The 21596-nt window shown below is 40.3% G+C and overlaps 1 protein-coding gene across 6 annotated transcripts in view; it reads right to left on the minus strand.

Moving 5' to 3' along the window:
* Window positions 1–21596, minus strand: part of SAMD12 (sterile alpha motif domain containing 12) — a 490139-nt gene that overhangs the window by 66588 nt on the left and 401955 nt on the right. For 2 of the 6 annotated variants that reach the window (XR_007060733.1, XR_007060732.1), the window contains one exon: window positions 16787–18197. The exons of the other annotated variants lie outside the window; for them this stretch is intronic. The gene's annotated coding sequence lies outside the window, so the exon portion shown is untranslated. Of the gene's footprint in view, window positions 1–16786; window positions 18198–21596 lie in introns of those variants that run through there. 6 annotated transcript variants of the gene reach the window in all.

The following is a 21596-nucleotide window of genomic DNA, read 5'->3' on the forward strand; positions in this document are numbered from 1 at the left end:
GGGTACTCCCTACAGTTCCTTATACATGGGTCTTCAAGAATTATTATATGAGTACAATGGAATGTTTTGCTCAGAAAAATATCAGTATTAGTTTCTAATACACAAAACTATCAGACAATGGGAGAGAAGCACAGCAGGTATTCTTGATGCAAAAGAAAAAAAAATCTACCTCAGTTTTCAAACCTGGCTCTCAAATCTAACTAACTGGCTTTTCAAAACATGACAGAACGCACTATTTGTAAGCAAGTGTTTGATTAACATTTGCTATTTTTGAGAAAATGAAAAAATAAAAGGTACTATGTAAGTGTATTAAATATCAAATAATAATACTTCTGATAGGTTGTATTGAAAGCAGAATACTATTATTGTTGATGGCATTGTCAACTGGAAAAATAATGTCAATTTATTCAAAAATTATTGAAAATGCATATGCCTAAATGTAGTAATTCCATTCCTAGGAGTATATCCTAAGGAAATAATCTAAAAAAAAGAAAGAAGCTATATGCACAAATAGGTAAACTAGAGGTTATTTATCATAGAGGAAAAATTGGAAGCAACCACTCTCTTATTGTTGAAGATTTAGGTTAAGTAAATTATGGTACATTAACAAGATGGATAATTACATGGCCATTAAAATAATACTAATTATGATGATTATGATTATGTAGCAACATGGAAACAGTTATGATATACTACAATATAAAGCTTATATATATGCATAGAAAAGAACTGTATGTGAAAATGAAGGCCCTAGAATTTTTATTACTGTCATCATAGTATTTTGCAAAACAACAACAAAAATTAGGCTCACAGGGTTGCAGGATTGCCCCATGACTAACTAAAGCATCATGATTGTTTTCACTCACTAATACTACCTTGAAAATAAATACTTTGTAATTTCATTAAGAGAAACACTTCAGTATTTTGAAAGGGGTATAAACACCAATGTGCGTAAGATCCTATCCAGGTTGACCTGCTAGGAGGGCAGTACAGCCTGAAAGAACAACATTGATTTCTAGGAACTTGACACAGTGTACCATCCTTGAGACCTGGCTAAAATCAGATCCAGAAAATGTGTGACCTTGGAAAATAATGAATAACCTATAAAATACAATTTTAAAAAAGAATAATGATAATAAAGAGTAAGCCCTAATTAATTATTATACTTTGGAACCTGAGTCATGAGTTGATAACTAGGTTTATCATAGTTACTGCTTCTTTAAATAACCATGTTTCCTACAATGGTCTCTAGTAGCTGAGAGAAAGCAGATATGTCTAATCTTAGGATATTAAAAAAGCACTTATAACCATGGATGTAAGTGGAGTGCAGTATACTTTAGAGCACTTTCCCTTATCATTGCCCAATCCTCTTCTCAGGACATGTAGAATTATTCCCATTTTATAGATTAGGAAATTGAAGCCCAGAAGTATTATTAACCCAAGATCACACAGCTAGTAAGGATCAAAGCTATATCCAAATGATATGGTTTGGCTGTGTCCCCACCCAAATCTTATCTTGAACTGCAGCTCCCATAATTCCCACGCATTGTGGGGAGAACCCGGTGGGAGATAATTGAACCATGGGGGCAGTTTCCCCCATATTGTTCTCGTAGTAATGAATAAGTCTCATGAGATCTGATGGTTTTATAACAAGTTTCCCCTTTTCCTTGGCTCCCATTCTCTCTTGCCTGCTCCCATGTAAGATGTGACTTTCACCTTCTGCTATGATTGTGAGGCCTCCCCAGCCACGTGGAACTGTGAGTCAATTAAACCTCTTTTCCTTTATAATTTACCCAGTCTGGTATGTCTTTAACAGCAGAACGACAACAAACAAATACACCAGACTTAGGTGTGTCCCCCTCTAGTGACATACAGGAGTGATAGGGAGGAACATAGAAATATTCTGAGCCTTTCCCATCCCATCTTCTGAGTAGGCTTCCGTGTTTATCCACAAGCCCAATCAGCACGATGAAGGGCCCTATTAGAGTACCAAAAAAAAAAAAAAAAAAAATCAGAGGCTAAAATGAATTTATATTAGAGCAACAAGATACTCCTGCAAGACATGAATATAAATAGAACTAGAAGCCACAGAGAGACAAGTTGAAGGTTTAGAGGGTGACATAGGAGGTTTGGGACAGTGGTGGCCATAATGAGTGGGGCATTGGGAAAAGTGATGGCCAAAGAAAAGAGTGTGCTATGGCAGAGGAGTGTCATCTTTGAAATCTTTCCATGGTAGTCAGTGATGCTTCACTGCTCTTTGCTGTTTTTGCAGTTAGTATTGTGTTCCTTTTGAATGGGTCACCATGCTGAGATGGGCTTTATGGGAGGACAAGAGGTCCCCATTTACTCAGGCTGTATGTGTAAGACACGTGGTGAAAGTAGGCCTTGAACCTTAGTCTTTCTTCTTCCTATTATTATTTTTTGGAGACAGGGTCTAGCTCTCATCGATCAGGCTGGGGTGCAGTGGCACCATCACGGCTCATTGTAGCCTCGACCTCCCAGGCTCAAGTGATCCCCTCACTTCTCAGCCTTGCTGGGACCACAGGCGTGGCGTGCACCACTACACCCAGCTACACACACCTGGACCCTTGAACCTTAATCTTTCTATCAATCACATCTGTATAGTGATGGGTTCTGCCATCATCACTTTGCTAGAGACTTATCTGCAACAGGAATCATGTCTTCGGGTATATAAATCTACATGAGGTCAAAATGCAAAATGGCAGTTTGCATTAGACAGCCCTGGCTCTGAAAAGGGGGAAATATGTGGTCTTTGATATACAACGCTCTTTGGGCTCCATCCCCTGTGCTTCAGCCATCCCAGCCTCCTTCTGGCTCTGCATATGTGTGGGGTTGTTCCAGGTCTTGCTGATCCTTTCTTTTTCCCAGGGTGTCTTCTTTATATACCCTCTAGCATTAGTGAACACCAACCCCGCCCTCTTTCACAACCACCTAGAGCGTCACTTCCTTTATGAAGTATTCTTTCCTTCTAGACACAGCTAACAACTCTCTCCTGTGTGCGAGTGTGGCATCTCAAATTTTTACCAAAAAACCCACAATGAACACTTCAATTTAATGTATCCATCGTTCCTCCTAATTTTTTTGTGGGTGATGCCATGTCTTATTGTTGTGTATTCTCCTAATGCAATGTGCAGTGTCAGGTATACAGAAAGTGCTTATTAAATAGTTGTAAAGTTAATAAAGAAAGGAATGATGTTGGAGGAGAATCTTTGTTTCTCTGTTTAATTCAGTAACTAATGTTGCATGAGATTCAATCCTGGTCTGCATGTGGAGAGTGGGATTGCTCTGGTTTCTTTCTCTGCTTTATCAACTACTTACTCAAGGAAGATGTACATCCTGGGGGCTGTCCATGTATGGATTTTGCAGCTAACAAATAGTAAAAGGCTCTTTTTCAAACCTCTGTTTGATGGGCCATCATTACTATTAATAGTTTAGACATTCTTGGAATTATTGGAATCAAGAATTCTTGGAATCAATCATCATATTTAGCCCTATGGCTTCAGAGTCTGGGATGAGGAGGGAAGCACTGGAGTCTAGTGGTCAGGAGCATGGGCTCTGGCAGATATGGGTTCACATCCTAGGCTCACTACTTCCTAGCTATGTGATGTTGAACACATGAATTTTTCCCAAGCTCATTTTCTTCACCTTTAAAATAGCAGTCATAATTCCTGCCTCACCAGGCTGCTGTGTTGTTAAAAAGGACTCATAGGAAAAGCATTTTGCGTGGTGTTTAGTAAATAACTAAGTGATAGCTACTATTGTTTTATTATTATTATCATGAATTCCTAAAATTCCTTGGAGAAATCAAAGTCAAAGCTCTAACGCTAAGTATCAGTGTTTTAATGCTAAATGTCAATGTTCTAATGCTATAGCTGGGGGCCAGGAAAAGAAACAAAATACCCAGAGGTCAAGCCTTTGCAACTCCCAGGAGGCAGATAACTGTCTTCCTGCTTGCCAAGGCCACTTTGGGCACACTCTGGCTCCTGCTCTCTCCCAGATTAGCGCAGCCCTTAACAGACAGTTCCATGAGAAAGGGAGTCTGAAACACTTCAAAGGCAGGAAGTGACTGGCCCAGGAGGCAGTGGCCAGCTTGGCAAAAGGTTCAATAACAGATCTGGGATGGATTATGTCCCGCCCCACCTTTCCTAACTCCAGCACACAGGGCTGAAGGATTGTTGTGTGTGGAGAAGAAGAAAAGATATTATATCCAGGCAGCCCCACGTCTCATGGGCTCAAGGGGGAAATAAGACTTCATCCTTTAAAAGGGCTGTTCAGTGTCTTCCCTTCAGAAAGAAGGGTCCATATCTTCTACCTGAAAGTGTCTTTCGTGTAATGAGTTCAAGGCCTTTGGGGGTGTATCTGAACTGCAACTTCAATGTGGGACAATTTATATCTGGTGTGAAATGCACATTCCAAAAAAGTGAGATCCATGGTTGCCCCAGCAGAATAGCCAATAAGCAGAGCTCACATTTATGGAACGATTACAATATGCCTACAAAGGTTTTATAGGCAGTTACTCATTGAATCTGTACTGCCATTTTTGAGGTTTGGATTCATTATTCCTGTAATTCACACAGAGAAAATGACAGCAGGGTCGTTAGCTGGCACAGCCACAGTGCTAGAATGCATAGAGCTGGGACTAGAACCCAGATCTGTTCTCACCACGGTGCTTTCCTGACTCAATAAGAAACATTTGTTGGGAAAAGAAATTCTCCAACAAGAATGGAGGAGAGAAATCAAGTAACTGTGTTTGCATAAAAGAATTCTCATCAAACATGAATCCTATACATGGAGTGCCATAAATAAGAGGTTTGACCTAGAGAAAGGCAGCACATTTTTATTTTAACAGTCTAAGATCTTTCCTATGTTTAGAGCACTGGTTCTCAACTGGATATAATTTTGCCCCCTACAGCACAAATGGCAATGTCTGGAGACACTGGTGGTAACAACTTGTGTGTGTGTGTGTGTGTGTGTCGAGGGAGAGGCAGGTACTACTGGCATCTAATGGGTAGAAACCCATTAAACTGCTGAACATTTTAGAATGTATAGGACAGCCCTCACAACAGAAAATTATCTGGCTCAAAATGTCAGTGGTACTGAGGTTGGTTTGGAAGATACAGGTCCTTGTTTCTATTTTCTTTTCTTTTTTTAATTCTATTTTTTTATTATTATTATACTTTAAGTTCTAGGGTACATGTGCAGGCTTGTTACATATGTATACATGTGATATGTTGGTGTGCTGCACCTATTAACTCTTCATTTACATTAGGTATATCTCCTAATGCTATCCCTCTCCCCTCCCCCCACCCCACGACAGGCCCCGGTGTGTGATGTTCCCCTTCCTGTGTCCAAGTGTTCTCATTGTTCAATTCCCACCTATGAGTGAGAACATGCGGTGTTTGGTTTTTTGTCCTTGCGATAGTTTGCTGAGAATAATAGTTTCCAGCTTCATCCATGTCCCTTCAAAGGACATGAACTCATCCTTTTTTTTTTGTTTGTTTCTATTTTCTACTCCTGGTTGTGAGCCAAATATATCACTCCCAAAATAGGCCAAGATAAAAACCAACATAAGTGTGCCTCGTGTATGTACAGGAAATAAGGCTAATTTCAAACCTCACTCCCCTCTTCTTCTCATCATTTGCTCATTTTATGTGATTTTATATTCAATGCAATCAAAACCTCTAATATTAAATCATTTCTAACTTTTAGAACCCTCACAGGCATTACCATTATAAGAATCAAGATTGGATGATTTAGAGAGGTATGCTTAATTAATTAATTAATTAATATGTATGGGAGAGGTAAAAGATAAAAGAAGGACAAAGGATTTATGTGGCCATAAAGCTAAACTTTGCTTCTAGTCTATGATGGGAGAAATCATATGTATTCTCAGCAGCGCTGGTCCCATGTCTGCCACTCTCTGCCCCACAAGAATTTGACGAAGAGAAGCGGGATCGGGAGGGGGAGTTGCCCACTGAGAGTATGATTAAGGAATCAACCCTCTGACCGCATGAAGATGAAGGTCAGAATCTCCAAAGAGGCCGGACATGGTGGCTCATGCCTGTAATCCCAGCACTTTGGGAGGCCGAGCCGGGCAGATCACGAGGTCAGAAGATCGACACCATCCTGGCTAACATGGTGAAACCCCATCTCCACTAAAAATACAAAAAATTAGCCAGGCGTGGCGGCCGGCACCTGTGGTCCCAGCTATGCAGGAGGCTGAGGCAGAAGAATGGTGTGAACCTGGGAGGCGGGGCTTGCAATGAGCCGAGATTGCGTCACTGCACTCCAGCCTAGGCGACAGAGCGAGACTCTGTCTCAAAAAAAGAAAAAAAGAAAAAAATATAATAAAAGAATCTCCAACGAGATTGGTATCAGGATGACAGAGAACTTGGGTTAAGTGTAATAAAACAGAGATGCATACATACTAACTGGTAACTTCCCATTATCGTTAGTAAACTGGAAAGCACAATAAGTCTGTGATGGTTAATTTTATGTGTGAACTTGATTGGGCCACTGGGTGTCCAGATATTTGGTTAAACATTATTCTGGGTTTGTCTATAAAGGTATTTGTAGATAAGATGAACAACTGAATTGGTAGACTTTGTAAAGCAGATAGCCCTCCCTAATACAAGTGGACCCCATTCAATCCATCGAAGGCCTAAAGAGAATAGGCTGGGTAAGGGATAATTCACTCTTTCTGCCTGACTGCCATCTCCTGCCTTTGGACTCAAATTCAGACTGGAACCATACCGTTGGCTCTCCTGGATCTCCAGTTTGCAAATCTTGGGACTTCTCTACCTTCACAATTGAATAAGCCAATTCCTTATAATACATCTCTCTATACATATTTATGCATCTTATTAGTTCTGTTTTTATGAAGAACCTTGAGGAGCAGAGTCTACAGATAACACAATGACCATAAGAGTTAGCACTATCATTCACCAAGTACTTCCTAGGTGCTTAGCATCAGGCTAAGAACCTGTGTTCACTTTGCAGCAACCAAAGTAGGTAGGTACCATGACCTTTACTCCACAAATGCAGAAAGCCAGACTTGGAGGGGTGAGTGATGGAAGACAGGCTGTGGCCTTTAGGCTAGGCTATGATCTTTGATCTGACTATGAAATATCAGGGGCCTGTTAATTCCAGAAATGTTAAGCGAGAAATACAAGGTCTCAAGGCCCCATGGCAACATTTTTAGACGAATACCTAGATGGGATAGGAAGGCCTTGGCCTCCACCCCCACCCTCTCACCCCTTGGTGTTATTGTTTCTATTAAAATGTAACTGGCTCCTGATACTGTCAGAGGAGTAGTTCTGCTGCCTGGCTTTGCAGTCCTCGTTGCTTGGATGGTCACCTTTCTCTGGGGAGTTTTGAAGGGTTCTCGTGACAAGTGAAGGTCCCAACCAACACACACATTGAGAACGTGAGAGAAAAAGAATGCCCTTGTGTGCAAACTGTCTCTCTCCTTTTCCTCAGCCCTTGGGGAAAAAAAAGGACATTGTATTTGCTCACTTACTGTTCTAAAAGTAAGGCCACTAGTCTACTACACTGTGAGCCTGAAAAACCTCTCAGAAACTGACTCTGATTCCTGGAGGTTAAATTGAATCTCTAGATTCCGAGGTTTAAGAACCCTGACATTTTGATGAGAGATTCTCAAACTTGACTGCCTCAAACTCATCTGAGGGAGCTTCTTAACATTTTTCTTTTGTCCAGCTTGTCTCCATTTCCAATGATTCAGAATGTCCAGGGGAGGACTAGAAAACTCTGTTTAATCATAGCCTTGAGAATTCACACAAAAGCAGCTTGGCAAAATCCATGAACACACCTACATCTTTCCCCCAGTACTTAAATAGTAGTTATTTGTCCTTCAGACAGAGAAAAGTGGTATATACGGCAGGAAAATTTGCTTTATAGCCTTGTTCTTTTCACATAATAAAATGCCACAAATCCTGGATATAATACAGTGCAGTGATCCAAATATTTAGAGTGAGGCAGACAGGAGAAGCTATTCAACCCAGTCAAAGTCCTGGGAATACAGGCATGGTCCATCATTCCAGGATTGTTTACAGGTTTCTCATACATCAATCAAACAACATGTATTGTATTAAACACTAAAGTATCCTGCATTGCCTTGGGGGCTTCAGGGGTTGAAGAGTCTCCAATCTGTATAATTACACATATTGTTACATAGAATCTGTATCACAATCTATTAGAATCACTGATGCGCTGTCTCTAGATGAGTGTTTCTCAAACTTTACTCTGCTTAGAAATGCCCCAGAGAGCTTGGTAAAATGCTGTTTTCTGGGCACCAAATGGAAATAATCTGATTCAGTAGATCTGGGATAGCCCTGTGACTTTGAATTCATAATAATGTTGCAGGGACACTGATATTGCTAGTCTGAGGACCTCTCTGTAAGCACTACTGCTGTGAACCTTAAGTTCCTTCAGGCAAGAAGTATGTCTCATTCTTCTCTTTCTGTTGTGTGTGGTAGAATGTCGGGACTATCAAAGGTGCTCCTGAAATGTTTGTCAAATGAGTGAGTGAATCAATGAATGTATGTATGAAGAAAGCCACATGAATGAAATCAGCAGTTTTCAAGTATGGGCAGAATTTCCTGGGAGGCCAGGATATTGTTCTCTAATGAGAATTGGTTTAGAAATTTCAGTATATGCAAGTATCTGAAACTCTATATATTCTGTGTGATCATTTAGGATATCTATTAACTCCAGTCTCTGGGGAATGTTTCCCTAGAAAGATGGCAAAGCCTCACCCAGCTTTACAGCTCTCTTGAGCTAGAAGCCTGGTGACAACAGTGGACTATCATCTTGTACCACATGAATACAGGATGATGCATTTCTGGGAGAAGCATCATCAGGCCAGATGCTCTCAGCAGGGATGCATTTGTACAGCCAATTAGTCACTGGTAACCTCAGTGATTCCATTTTTTTTTTGCACTGGACAGAGGCAAGTATCTCAAGCCATTACATTCTGACAGCCAGCTAAAAGCCCATTGAACCTTCCAGAGGACAACTCTGTCCACTGGCACAAAACAGCATAAAAATGTACCTTGAAGTATAATCTAAGATACCATTGAAATTTCCCTCCGTCTCCACAATGTTAGACTGGGTGGCAGATTATACTCCGAGGGACTGTTTTCTAATTTCTCTCATTGCTTCTACACCCCATCTCTCTTAGTCACAGAGCACAGAGCCTTGTGTGTTTGTCAACTGTATGAATAAGTGAAGTTCCTTTCTTCTTCTTCTTCTTTTTTTAAATTATCTTTTCTCCTCTTTGCCTTTTGCTTTAAACTTATTTTAATTTCAAGGGCTTCTCTGTTGACTGATCCAACAGATTCTGCATTGGAACAATGTTCTCTAAGATTCACTACTTTAGATAAAATATTTTTAAAAATCTCCAGATCCTGCAGCTTTTCCAAGAGAAAAAGAAAAGCACACTTTTAAAGGAGAATACAAGGTCTACGTAAATACTCCTTTTTTTTTTTGTCACCTCTCAAGGAGATAGAAATATCTCTTTTGGAAACAAAGCTATGCAAGATAAAAATGTATTAATGACACTTCGGGAGGCTGAGGCGGGTGGATCACCTGAGGTCGGGAGTTCGAGACCAGTCTGATCAACATGGAGAAACCCCGTCTCTACTAAAAACACAAAATTAGCTGGGTGTGGTAGTGCATGCCTGTAATCCCAGCTACTCGGGAGGCTGAGGCAGGAGACTCACTTGAACTCAGGAGGCAGAGGTTGTGGTGAGCCGAGATTGTGCCATTGCACTCCAGCCTGGGCAACAAGAGCGAAACTCTGTCTCAAAAATAAAATAAAATAAAATAAAAATAAAAAAGTATTAATGAATAATCCTTACAACAGTGATGACATTTTGTCATACGGAATCTTAGAGTAGAAGGTATCTTTAAACAGTGCTTCTCAAATTTTAAGATGTGTGTATGCATCACCTGGGTATCTTGTTAAAATGCAGATCACATAGTTCTACAAGTTGTCAGGTGATACCAGTGCTGCTGGTGTGTGGACCATACTTTGAGTAGGAAGGAGGAGGAGTAAGTGCTACTGGCACTGGCTACTCCTGAAAGAAGGCCTCACATATTCTCTCAAAGCCTATGTGAACTGAACTATGTGCAATGATGGAAATGTTCTAGATCTGGTCTAACATGGCAGCCATTAGCCACATGTGGCTACTGAGCACTTGAAATGTAGCTGGTGCATGGAGGAAATTACTTTTAAATTTTATTTAATTCCAATTCATTTATCTTTATATGGTTATGTATGCCTGGTGGCTACCATATTTGACAGCGCCACTCTGTAGTGGAGAAAAGAGAGACAGCAATTTAATAAAAAAATAAAGTTTAGAGAGAAGAAACCTAAACAGCAAGGTGAAGCTTCAAATCCTTTCACCCATATTGTAAGTGTACTCTTGTTCTCACTCTCCTTCCTGCTGTATGTAGGGAGGGCTCAAGGCTTCTCCTCTGTTCTCCATCATGTTCCCAGAATCACTCTATATACAAAATAGTAATTAGAAAAGGCTTCATAAACATTCTGAAGTGCGGATGATTATCTTGTTTACATAAACCTCTTTGAATTGGCAAAATCAAGCAAGAAATCTTATGAGAAATAGTTCCTTTGTTATGAGCTCTTTCCCCTTGGGTCATACCAGGGCAGGATTCTGAAGACAGTCTCCAAGGTTATTATATTGTGGGTTCTTGCCCTTTGGTCTGGAACACAGAGGGAAATGCAAACATTTCTGGAATGTCCAGACATTCCAGAAAAGTTTAAAAGAAAAAAGAGCTCAAGTCGAGTTCCCCAAAATGAGAAACTGCTGAGGGTGGTGAAAGGGTAGGGCTTGGTTTTGTCTGAACTACAGCCTTCAGCTCTCAGCAGGTTACAATCTATATTGCAGTTAACGAGGTTTGGAGATCTTCCCTGGGCTGGTGGGTACTAATTTCCATTGAGGAAAGAGTTATGAGATGTCTTAATGATAACAGATAATTTCTCTGTGTGGGCAGAGCCTCAAAGCACGTTGCTATAAAACTGTGTGGACTGGGCTATTTCTTTTGTGTACGCACTTTCCCCTTAAAGAATCCACTTGGCATGAGTCTCAAACCTGCTTGGGGACCCTTGTGATTAATTGCTTGAACTGGCTGGTGGCCATCAGCAGGATCTTGCAATTTACCAGGTTCTACACAGAATTATGAAGCTGAAGGTTTAATGAGATTTTAGGTAATAGAGCCCAGATGTCCAAGACTACGATGTTTGAAATTACACTGCTTGCAAAGCTGTGGGGCTTAAACCTTATTTATTTCTTGCTTAGTTGATTTCCTTATTCCCATCTTTATGTAATCTTGGACCAGTCAAATAAGGCCTTTACCTTGACATACTGTATCTAGAGAAGCTATTCACAAACACACACCTGTGGCCAATACCCTGGAGAGCCCAGAGAGCCAAGACCCCCCTACCTTTCAGCCCAACCTCCTGGGATCACCTCTCAGCCAAGGATATGGTAATTACCAAACCTCTTAGCCAAGGATATGGTAATTAACAGTCCTACCACCACCTTGCTGCTATGCAGCACTTAACTTCCAGATTGCTTTCACACATTTAATTGCATTTTATTCTGTCAGGGTCCAGGAGAAATGGGCTGGGATGGTATTATCTCTATTTGGATGAGGAAACCAAGGTACACAGAAGACAAGGGATAATAATAGCTAACATTTGTGAAACCCTCATGTGCCAAGAAGTACTGTTCCCTGGGGTTTACGTGCATTATTACTTTTAAGCCTCGTAACAGCTTTGAAGTTGATATGATTATCAGTTCCGCTTTGAAATGGGAGAACTAGAGCACAAAGAGGTTGGGTCACACCACTAAGAACTGATGAAGCCAGGATGAAACCTGCTCTGGCTCTTAGTTATATGCACTTCCACCTCCCTAAGGAAGTGTAGTCTGCATCACAGCCAAGACCTGGAATCTGTTATTGTTAAAGCAGTATTCTTTGTACATCATTTGCGAGGAGGAAGACAAATCCCAGATACATTTACTAATGAGAAGCTACCTATACCATTTTTCCCTGCTGTCCTCCAGAGCAGTGCAGCTTGGAGAGGGATTCTATTTATTGTTGTCTCATTTGAAAAGAAAAAAACAAGAAAACAACTTGACCTAATATTCCAGGCCATTCATGATGGCAACCTCAACTTCTCCTTCCATCCTTATCCACAATGCATTCCAGACACAGAAATGGATTAAATTTGTCTTACACGGCCCTACCCTTGTTTACATGGTCTCTACTTCTTTCTTCATCCTTCTGCCCAAATTCTACCCTTTCTGTAAGAGCAAGTGCTACTGGCACTGGCTACTTCTGAAAGAAGGCCTCACATATTCTCTCAAAGCCTATCTCTCCCTGCTCTGAACCTCCACATGATTTTGTTGAATGAATGGATGAACAAATGGAATAACCATCATCTCTTGATTGCTGTCCTAGGCACTGTGCTAAACATCAGGGATATAAAAATGAACAACAAATAACCCCTGCCCTTGCCTTCAGAAAGCTCCCAGTCTAATGAGAGATTCGCACACAGAAAAACCACTACTGCACGATGTCCTGCATGCTATTATAGAAGGGCAAGATTCCAGGGGAGCAGAAGGGAGGGGGAGGAGCTCTCCTTGCTGTTTACAGATATGGCTGGGAATTCTGCCCAAGCCTTATCCCCCCATCTAGTTACGGAAACTTCACGTGGGAAGGGATTGTGTTTAAGCATCTTTGCACAACTCCCAAATCATCAGCATAGTCTCCTAAACTAAACAAACGTAAGATAAATAATGAAGGACTGTATTAGAAGCGATGGAGTCTCACTCATTATGGTAGGGGCAGTCTACAAGCCTCTCCTCTCCTCTTTGCAGTGGAAATAAAGAAGAGGAAAGCAGGCCCTTGCTGCTGTCCACAGTGGCCCTCCAATGGAGCTGGCCCAGACAGAGAGAGAGGGAGGAAGCTCCTGGCATTTCCTTAGGGTGAGTGAGTAGCAATGACCTAAACGACAGCTTTCTTTTGCAAGGGCCAAGGAATGTTTAATGTCCTGCTTTAAAATAACAGTTTGGGCAAGTCTTCCTTAAACCTACTTCTGTTCTGAAGAGTTGGAAAATATTTCTTATTTTAAATTATTCCCATTTCAGAGAAGTAATTCTGAATCTATAAAATTATGAGGCCCTTATAAAACTCTACAAGTAAGCTTTTTTTTTTCTTAATTTTCTATTCTTCTGAACAGGATTGCGAGGGAGTCCTGGGCAGTGGCCCAGCCCCATGAAAAGCTTTCCCTCCAGACGGTTAGTGTTTGGTTTCGGGGGACTACAACAGCACTTCATTCATATTTTTGAAGTTTGCTGGAGACAGGAGGTGGAATGGCTGTCACTACACAATATTCATATCTTTCCAGAACCACCAACCTGTGTTGCCCTACCATTTTAAGGAACCAGTGTGGGATAAGGAAGATAACAAATTCTTCCATTTGGCAGCTTTGAGACTGGTCAAGTTGTTTAAGTTCTATGAGCCATCTGAACCACAGCTTCCTCATGTGTAAAAGGAGAAGATTTGTGTGTGTGTTGCAGATTTTGTGTGTGTGTGTGTGTGTGTTTGTGTGAACTACTATATTTCATTAAATCCAAGATACATTTTTTTCAAAAAGCTTTAGAGATGGGGGTCTCACTATGTGGCCCAGAATGGAGTGTAGTGGCCCTTTGTAGGCAAGATCATAGTGCACTGTAGTCCCAAACTCCTGGGCTCAAGTGATCTTCCTGCCTCAGCCTCCCAAGTGGCTGGGACTACAGGTGTGTGCCACCATGTCTGACCCAAAGTACATTTAAAAAAAATGTACCACTGAGAAAGAAAAAAAAGATGCTGATTAAACTATGATATAATGCTTTTTATAGTCCCGCATCAGGCATAATTATTAGCCTTTTGTGGCTTAAAGATTTCTTTAATCTGCTCTAAAGAACTTGACAATTTCTATGCCTTCTGGTATAAACTTCATGTGTGATAAGTAAACATTTTGGATGTATCTCCATAATAAAACGAAACACACCTTCATCTACTTGTAATAACTTTCTATTTGAGGTAGTGCAAAGCTCAGTTTGCTGCTTTGCAAAAATATATGAAGTTGTAATTATACCTCCAATGTCAAACATTTGCCTCACTAATGGCACTGTTTCTTTGACTTTTGGCATACAAGACACATTTTTCCTTCAATGCCAAATTATAGTATAATATTTCTGAAGATGTTTTTCAACAGTGATTAAACTCAACAGGTGAATTTGAGTGAAGTAATGAAGATATGCACAATCACAGGCCACTTCAGACGTGCATCACTGCCATGTGACCTACAGTGATTACAAGACTTCCTAGATTGTAAAAGGTACAATTCAGAAATGTTAAAATATGAGACAAGTTGGATCTCAGATGCAATGAAATACGGTAAATGAAAGAGCATATATCATGGATCTTGTATCCTGTAGATACCTAACAAACCTCAAATCCCTGCCTTTTTAATAAAGAATGAGAATACGATGAAGCATAAAAGGGTGGAGGGAGGCTGGACCTCATCTTTTGGCAAAGAGATAAAATACTGAATTTAAATCTGAATCTTGTAGGGTAAAATTTATATTACAGGAAATAAAAACCATGAATGATCTCCATATCCTATGTCAGATGGCTGCAAATATTTTGTCATAGCCTTTCTCCCTACCTCTCATTGAGAGATGGGGTCTTTTTTCTCCCTCCTGCTTCCTTGAATCTGGGACAGGCCTGAGACTTCTTGGACCAACAGCATATGACAGAAATTTCTTTGTGTCTGTTCTGGGCTTAATCTTTAGGAGGACTGGAAACTTCTGTTTCTTCCTCCTTTGAACCTAGTCGCCATGCTGTGAATAAGCCATGACGCAACATGGACAGGCCCACATGGAGGGCAACTGAGGTTATTCCAAATATCAGCAGCCACCGCAGCTGAACAAGCAGCCAACTGCCTGTGCTAACATGCTAGCCATTTCAGTGAAACATCTTGGATGTGGATCCTCAGTCCCCAATGATAGTATGTATGGAAAAAATAAGAGGTCCCTGCTAAGCCTTGCCCAAATTGCAAAATCATGAGCAAATAATAATTGTTGTTTTGAGCCTCTCCAGTATGGGGTGGCTTGCCATGCAGCAGATCATCAAAATTCACTACCCTGTTAATTTTCACAGATGCTCTGAGCAAGACTTGTTCTAGAATCCCAAAGAGCAGAACCTGGAAGACAGCCTAGATCTGCTGACTCCTGAACTGAAACTCTTGCATGATTATTCTACACACTGAAGTTATTAAGGGCTAAGCAAGGCTTATGGAGCTCCTAAAGTCTTATTCCTTAGCCCTCATAGGACTATATCATGAGATGAAGTCTAGGTCAATTCTGGTCGGTTCAGGAAAGCTACAGAATTAAAAAAACATTCAAGAGAAAAAAAGTTTCAGCACAGCACACCCACCTATTGACCACACCCCAACTTCCCATAAACACACAAGGTCTTGTACCCTACTTGGAAATTGAGAGTAGAGTTCATGAGTTTGATGCAAATATACTTGTGATACTGTCAAGCTTTTTTAGATTATCTGTTGGTGGTCCCAAGAAATAATATCATAGTGGAAACAAGCATGAATCACTGTGGATTGATTGATCTCAGTCATAGGTTATTCAGAATGGCATCCGAAGAAGAAACAGAATATCGTGTCGATAGAATAAAATACAGGGACTAGAATCAGTCCTTTTCTTCTGACAGGAAGGTTCCATATGGAGGCAGAAATCTGGTTAACTACAATGTCACTTTAGACAGACACCAAGTGTATTTCACACTGTTGTTCACCTTCTATGTCAGGATGTCAAGACCTTTTGTTTCAACATGCAGCAGCCTGCATGCCCAGGTTATGGTTTCTGCAGCATGTTAGCTGATGGTCATAGTGTGTGCCCTTGGTAGTGTCATCTACACCAAAAGAGGCAACACTGTCAAGCTTTTCATCTTGTAGTGTGATGTTCAGCTAAAGAGGCTTAAGGAAATATATCTATATCTTCTTTGTCTCAAGAAAATTCCAAATATCACTGAAGCAGGAAGCATTTTCACAGGCATGTATGCAAGATGCTATTTACTGTGGGTATAGATGTTAGAAACTTAGTGTTTAATTTAATTTGGAAATCAGAAGGTAGGGGAAAGTCATTTAAGTTAACTTAGTGTTGAATTCAATACAAATAACTGTTGTTTATCTTTGCTTTAAAGCTATAATACTCATGAAATTGTAATTCTTTCCCAGGACTTGCTGGCTGATGACAAAGCTCTTGTTTCCTACAGAAATCAGTGGCTTAGGAGAGGGTGCCTTAGAGCGCATGGATGTAATAAACTAGAAAGGAGAATAAAGTGCAGTGGCACAATGGCTGGAGGTGAAGGCAGAGGTTAGATAGGACCAATCCTCAGACCGAAGGTTAAACAAGGGGGCTAAGCTGCTACTGCAGTTGTTACACGTTAGGAGAATTTACTTGCAGCACTATTTAAAAATCTGAATAAGAATATTTAAGCTAGAGGAATATAGACATGAAAAAATATATTATTTTCTTTATAAATCAAGTTAAGGACAAATCCCTCTATTTGAAATGTTAGGCTCTGGCAATTTTAATAATCTAAAACAAGTATTGGCAAACTATAGCCCCTGTAGGACAAATCCAGCCCACTCCTGTTTCTGAAAATAAAGTTTTATTGGATCACAGCCACACCCATTTGTTTACGTATTGTCTTATAGCTGCTTTCAAAACAACAGAAGAGCTGCATAGTTATAGAGATCATATAACTCACAAACTCCAAAATATTTACCATCTGGTTATTTACAAAAAAGTTTGCCAACCCCTATAAAATAAATGTAATATCAAAAATAAATCTAAATGTTAGTGAAAAAGCTTTGAGAATTTTATTATACATTGCAAGAAAAATAGTTGTCATTGAGTGCTTTTTTTTTTTATTACACTTTAAGTTTTAGGGTACATGTGCACATTGTGCAGGTTAGTTACATATGTATACATGTGCCATGGTGGTGCGCTGGACCCACTAACTCGTCATCTAGCATTATGTATATCTCCCAATGCTATCCCTCCCCTCTCCCCCCACCCCACCACAGTCCCCAGAGTGTGATATTCCCCTTCCTGTGTCCACGTGATCTCATTGTTCAATTCCCACCTATGAGTGAGAATATGCAGTGTTTGGTTTTTTGTTCTTGTGATAGTTTACTGAGAATGATGATTTCCAATTTCATCCATGTCCCTACAAAGGACATGAACTCATTACTTTTTATGGCTGCATAGTATTCCATGGTGTATATGTGCCACATTTTCTTAATCCAGTCTATCATTGTTGGACATTTGGCTTGGTTCCAAGTCTTTGCTATTGTGAATAATGCCGCAATAAACATATGTGTGCATGTGTCTTTATAGCAGCATGATTTATAGTCCTTTGGGTATATACCCAGTAATGGGATGGCTGGGTCAAATGGTATTTCTAGTTCTAGATCCCTGAGGAATCACCACACTGACTTCCACAATGGTTGAACTAGTTTACAGTCCCACCAGCAGTGTAAAAGTGTTCCTATTTCTCCACATCCTCTCCAGCACCTGTTGTTTCCTGACTTTTTAATGATTGCCATTCTAACTGGTGTGAGATGGTATCTCATTGTGGTTTTGATTTGCATTTCTCTGATGGCCAGTGATGATGAGCATTTTTTCATGTGTTTTTTGGCTGTATAAATGTCTTCTTTTGAGAAGTGTCTGTTCATGTCCTTCGCCCACTTTTTGATGGGGTTGTTTTTTTCTTGTAAATTTGTTTGAGTTCATTGTAGATTCTGGATATTAGCCCTTTGTCAGATGAGTAGGTTGCGAAAATTTTCTCCCATTTTGTAGGTTGCCTGTTCACTCTGATGGTAGTTTCTTTTGCTGTGCAGAAGCTCTTTAGTTTAATTAGATCCCATTTGTCAATTTTGTCTTTTCTTGCCATTGCTTTTGGTGCAGTCATTGAGTGCTTTCTACTCCAGAGATCTATATTTTAATCTTTACTCAGAACAAGTTCTGTGAAGTAAGTAGCAGCATAGAAGTAGCCAAGACCTACAGATAATATCAATTACTAGTAGTTGGTAGAGAAGTGAAGAAACAGAAAAAATACAACATTACAGCAGTCCAGGGCTATTTAGGGTAGGGATATGAGTATCATAGCATAATAAATAACTGATGTGCATAATGATAGATTTTGGAAATCTAGGTGCTTAAAACAGTAAGTTTCAGCAATCTGGAAAACTCTTAAGTAATAAAGCTTATTCTCAACATTTCTTGACAATGAAAATATTAGCTGCGTATGAATGTGGTGTGAGATTTCAGGAAACTGCTAATGTGACTTTGTGTGCATAACATGTTTCTGAAAATATTCATTCCCTATATCCACCCTCTATATCAGTTTTTCCTCTCCGCATTCATCGTTTAGGCCCTTGTGGTGTCTTCATCTGGTCTCTACCTTTTTTTTTGAGACGGAGTCTCGCTCTGTCACCAGGCTGGAGTGCAGTGGTGCGATCTCGGCTCACTGCAACTTCTGCCTCCTGGGTTCAAGCGATTCTTCTGCCTCAGCCTCCCAAGTAGCTGGGACTACAGATGCACACCACCACACCCAGCTAATTTTTGTATTTTTAGTAGAGACAGGGTTTCACTATGTTGGCCAGGATGGTCTTGATCTCTTGACCTTGTGATCTGCCCGCCTCGGCCTCCCAAAGTGCTGGGATTACAGGCGTGAGCCACTGCGCCCGGGCCTGGTCTCTAACTTTCTACTTTCTGCTCCCATCTATTCAAAACACTTTTACCAGATCAGTATCCCTACAAAACCTGTCTTGCTCATCAGCACATACCAAATGAATATCAGTATGGGTGAGGGATTGTGCTAGATTCTGAGGAAGATTCAGAACTGGGTAAGGGAGTTTTTGTCCATAAAGTGCTTGAAATATTTGGAAGAAAAGACAATATCTTTACAGAAAAATAATTAACAGTATAAGGTATTTGTTGATTCAGAAAAAGAAAAAAGGTTAACTAGATTTTATAAAGGGAGTGATTGCTATTGCATGGACTAGTCCTGGAGAGGGTGGAATTTGAATCAGGCCTTGAAAGAGAGGAGAAAAAAAGGAGAAAGGGTATTTTAGAAAGTTAGTGATGCCCATCTGTATTCAAAAACCTCCTGTGGCTCCACATTTCTTAAAGGATAAATTCAATTGTACAAGGCTATGTCCAAGGCTCTCCATAATCTTTATCCAACCATCTGCACCCTCCATAATGCCCTTCACAAATCAGCTCTCCCGATTTTTCTTAGTGCCTTATTGACTCTGATTTCTGGATGTGCTGTTCCTAATACTTAGAAAAGCTTTCTGTCCTCTGTGCTAATCCCAATCCTGCCTGTTATTTGAGGTCCAAATTCTCCATGGTGCCTCACCATGGGCCTCTCTATTCCAGTGCTTGGTCACATGTGGTCCTACTGCACCTGACTAGCATGCAGCTCACACCAAGTATAGCTCACAGCCCAAGTTCTGCAACACCCAAGTTGGTCTGTACTCAAGAAGACAAGTATACTGATTACAGCCTTGGATATTAAATTGCTATGAGGGCTTAAACTCTTATTATCAAGTTATTTATCTATCCCGTTGTGGATCAGTAATAAACAATTCACAGCATGGTACTGGTACTCAGATCACACTTTACTATTATTTTCCATTTTTATTTTTAATTGACAAATAATTGTATATATTTATGGGAATGCAATGTAATATTTTGATATATATATAATTGTGAGATGAGTAAATCAAGCTAATTAACATATCCATCACCTTACACATTTGCTTTTTGTGCTGAGAACATTTAAAATCTATTCTTTTATACATTTTGGATATGCAACCATCTATTATTAACTATAATCACCATGCTGTGCAACAGATTTCAAAAACTTATTCCTCCTAACTTTATATCCTTTGACCAACATCTCCCCACCCCCACCCCTGCCATCCCCAGCCCCTAGCAACCACCATTCTACTCTCTGCTATGAGTTCAACATTTTTAGATTCCACTTATAAGCAAGAACGTGTGGTATTTGTCTTTCGATGCTGGGCTTATTTCACTTAGCATAACATACTCCAGGTTCATCTATGTTATTGCAAATGACAGTGTCTCCTTTTTTATGGCTCAATAGTATCCCATTGTGTATATATACCACATTTTTTTAAAATCAATTTTTCCATTGGTAGACACTTAGCTTGATTCCATATCTTGTCAGCCCACACTTTGAATAGTGTTCATCTAGTTGACCTTCATCTCCTCTTTCCATGAATCCTAAAGCACTTACCGTCTATTTTAGGGGCTGAAAACTAGTGGTCAGTAGGCCAAATTTGAATAATTACCAACATTTAATAATTGGGAGATTTATAGTTCTCTGAAAAATTGGCAGTTGTAACATCATTGTCTCACACTCTCTAAAGCAACAATAGGCTGGAGCTGAGCAAAGCTGCCCCTTTAGATGTGGCATGAACTGTCTGGGTCTCCGCTGCCCCCAACATCCTTTCTACTGTTCACAGGCCAGCTCACCTCACCTCACTCTTTTTTTACGTTTGCCTGAACCTTGTAGGCATCTGTGTTGCCCATACACGTCTATGACGTGCATTTTGCCATTTTAGCTATTTTATTATATACTCGAATTGCTTGCTGTGTGGTTTGCCTTCTGTTCACATCTAGACGCAAATTCCTAGAGGAGAGAGACTATGCCCTGTGTGTTTTCCTGGTTTATCTCAGTAGACAGCACAGAGCTATATCAACAATTATCAAATGCTTGATAAATACCTTTTAAATAACAGAATGAACAAATGACCTATTCCATCTAGGTTATAAATCTAAAGTACAAATCCTAAATTGAACATATGAGGTAATTTTACGAACACCCTTGGGTGGATTAAAGGTAGCTACAAATTCTTTCATATCACCTCCCAGTGAGAGATGGGGGTCTATTATCCCTCCCTTTGAGTGGAGGTTGGCCTCTGACTGCTTTGACCAGGAGAATGATGGAATGATGCTATGCCAGTTCTGGGCCTGGCCTGTCAGAGAATTGTCAGCTTGCATTTGATCTGTTGAGAAGCTCTACTACCCTTCTGGAGAGACCACATGGAGACATCCTGACAATATATGGAGATAGGGAGAGGCCAGCTGAGCCAGGTCTTGCAGCCATCCCTGCCAAGGCACCAGGAAGGTGAGTAAAGTTGTCTTGGACCAGTCCTGACACCAGCTTAATATCACATAGGAGCCACAGGCAATGCCATGTGAAGCTGGAGAGTTGCTCAGCTGAGCTCTGCCCCAACGTGCAACTCTCAACATTGTGAGATATAATAAAACAGTTGTTATGTTAAGCCACTAAGTTTTTGAGGTAGTTCATTACACAGTAATGGATGAAACAGAATTTATCCCTGAGTTTCCACTGTTTACCTGAAT

Source organism: Homo sapiens, chromosome 8 (genome assembly GCF_000001405.40).
Source record: "Homo sapiens chromosome 8, GRCh38.p14 Primary Assembly".
Lineage (NCBI taxonomy): Eukaryota > Metazoa > Chordata > Mammalia > Primates > Hominidae > Homo > Homo sapiens.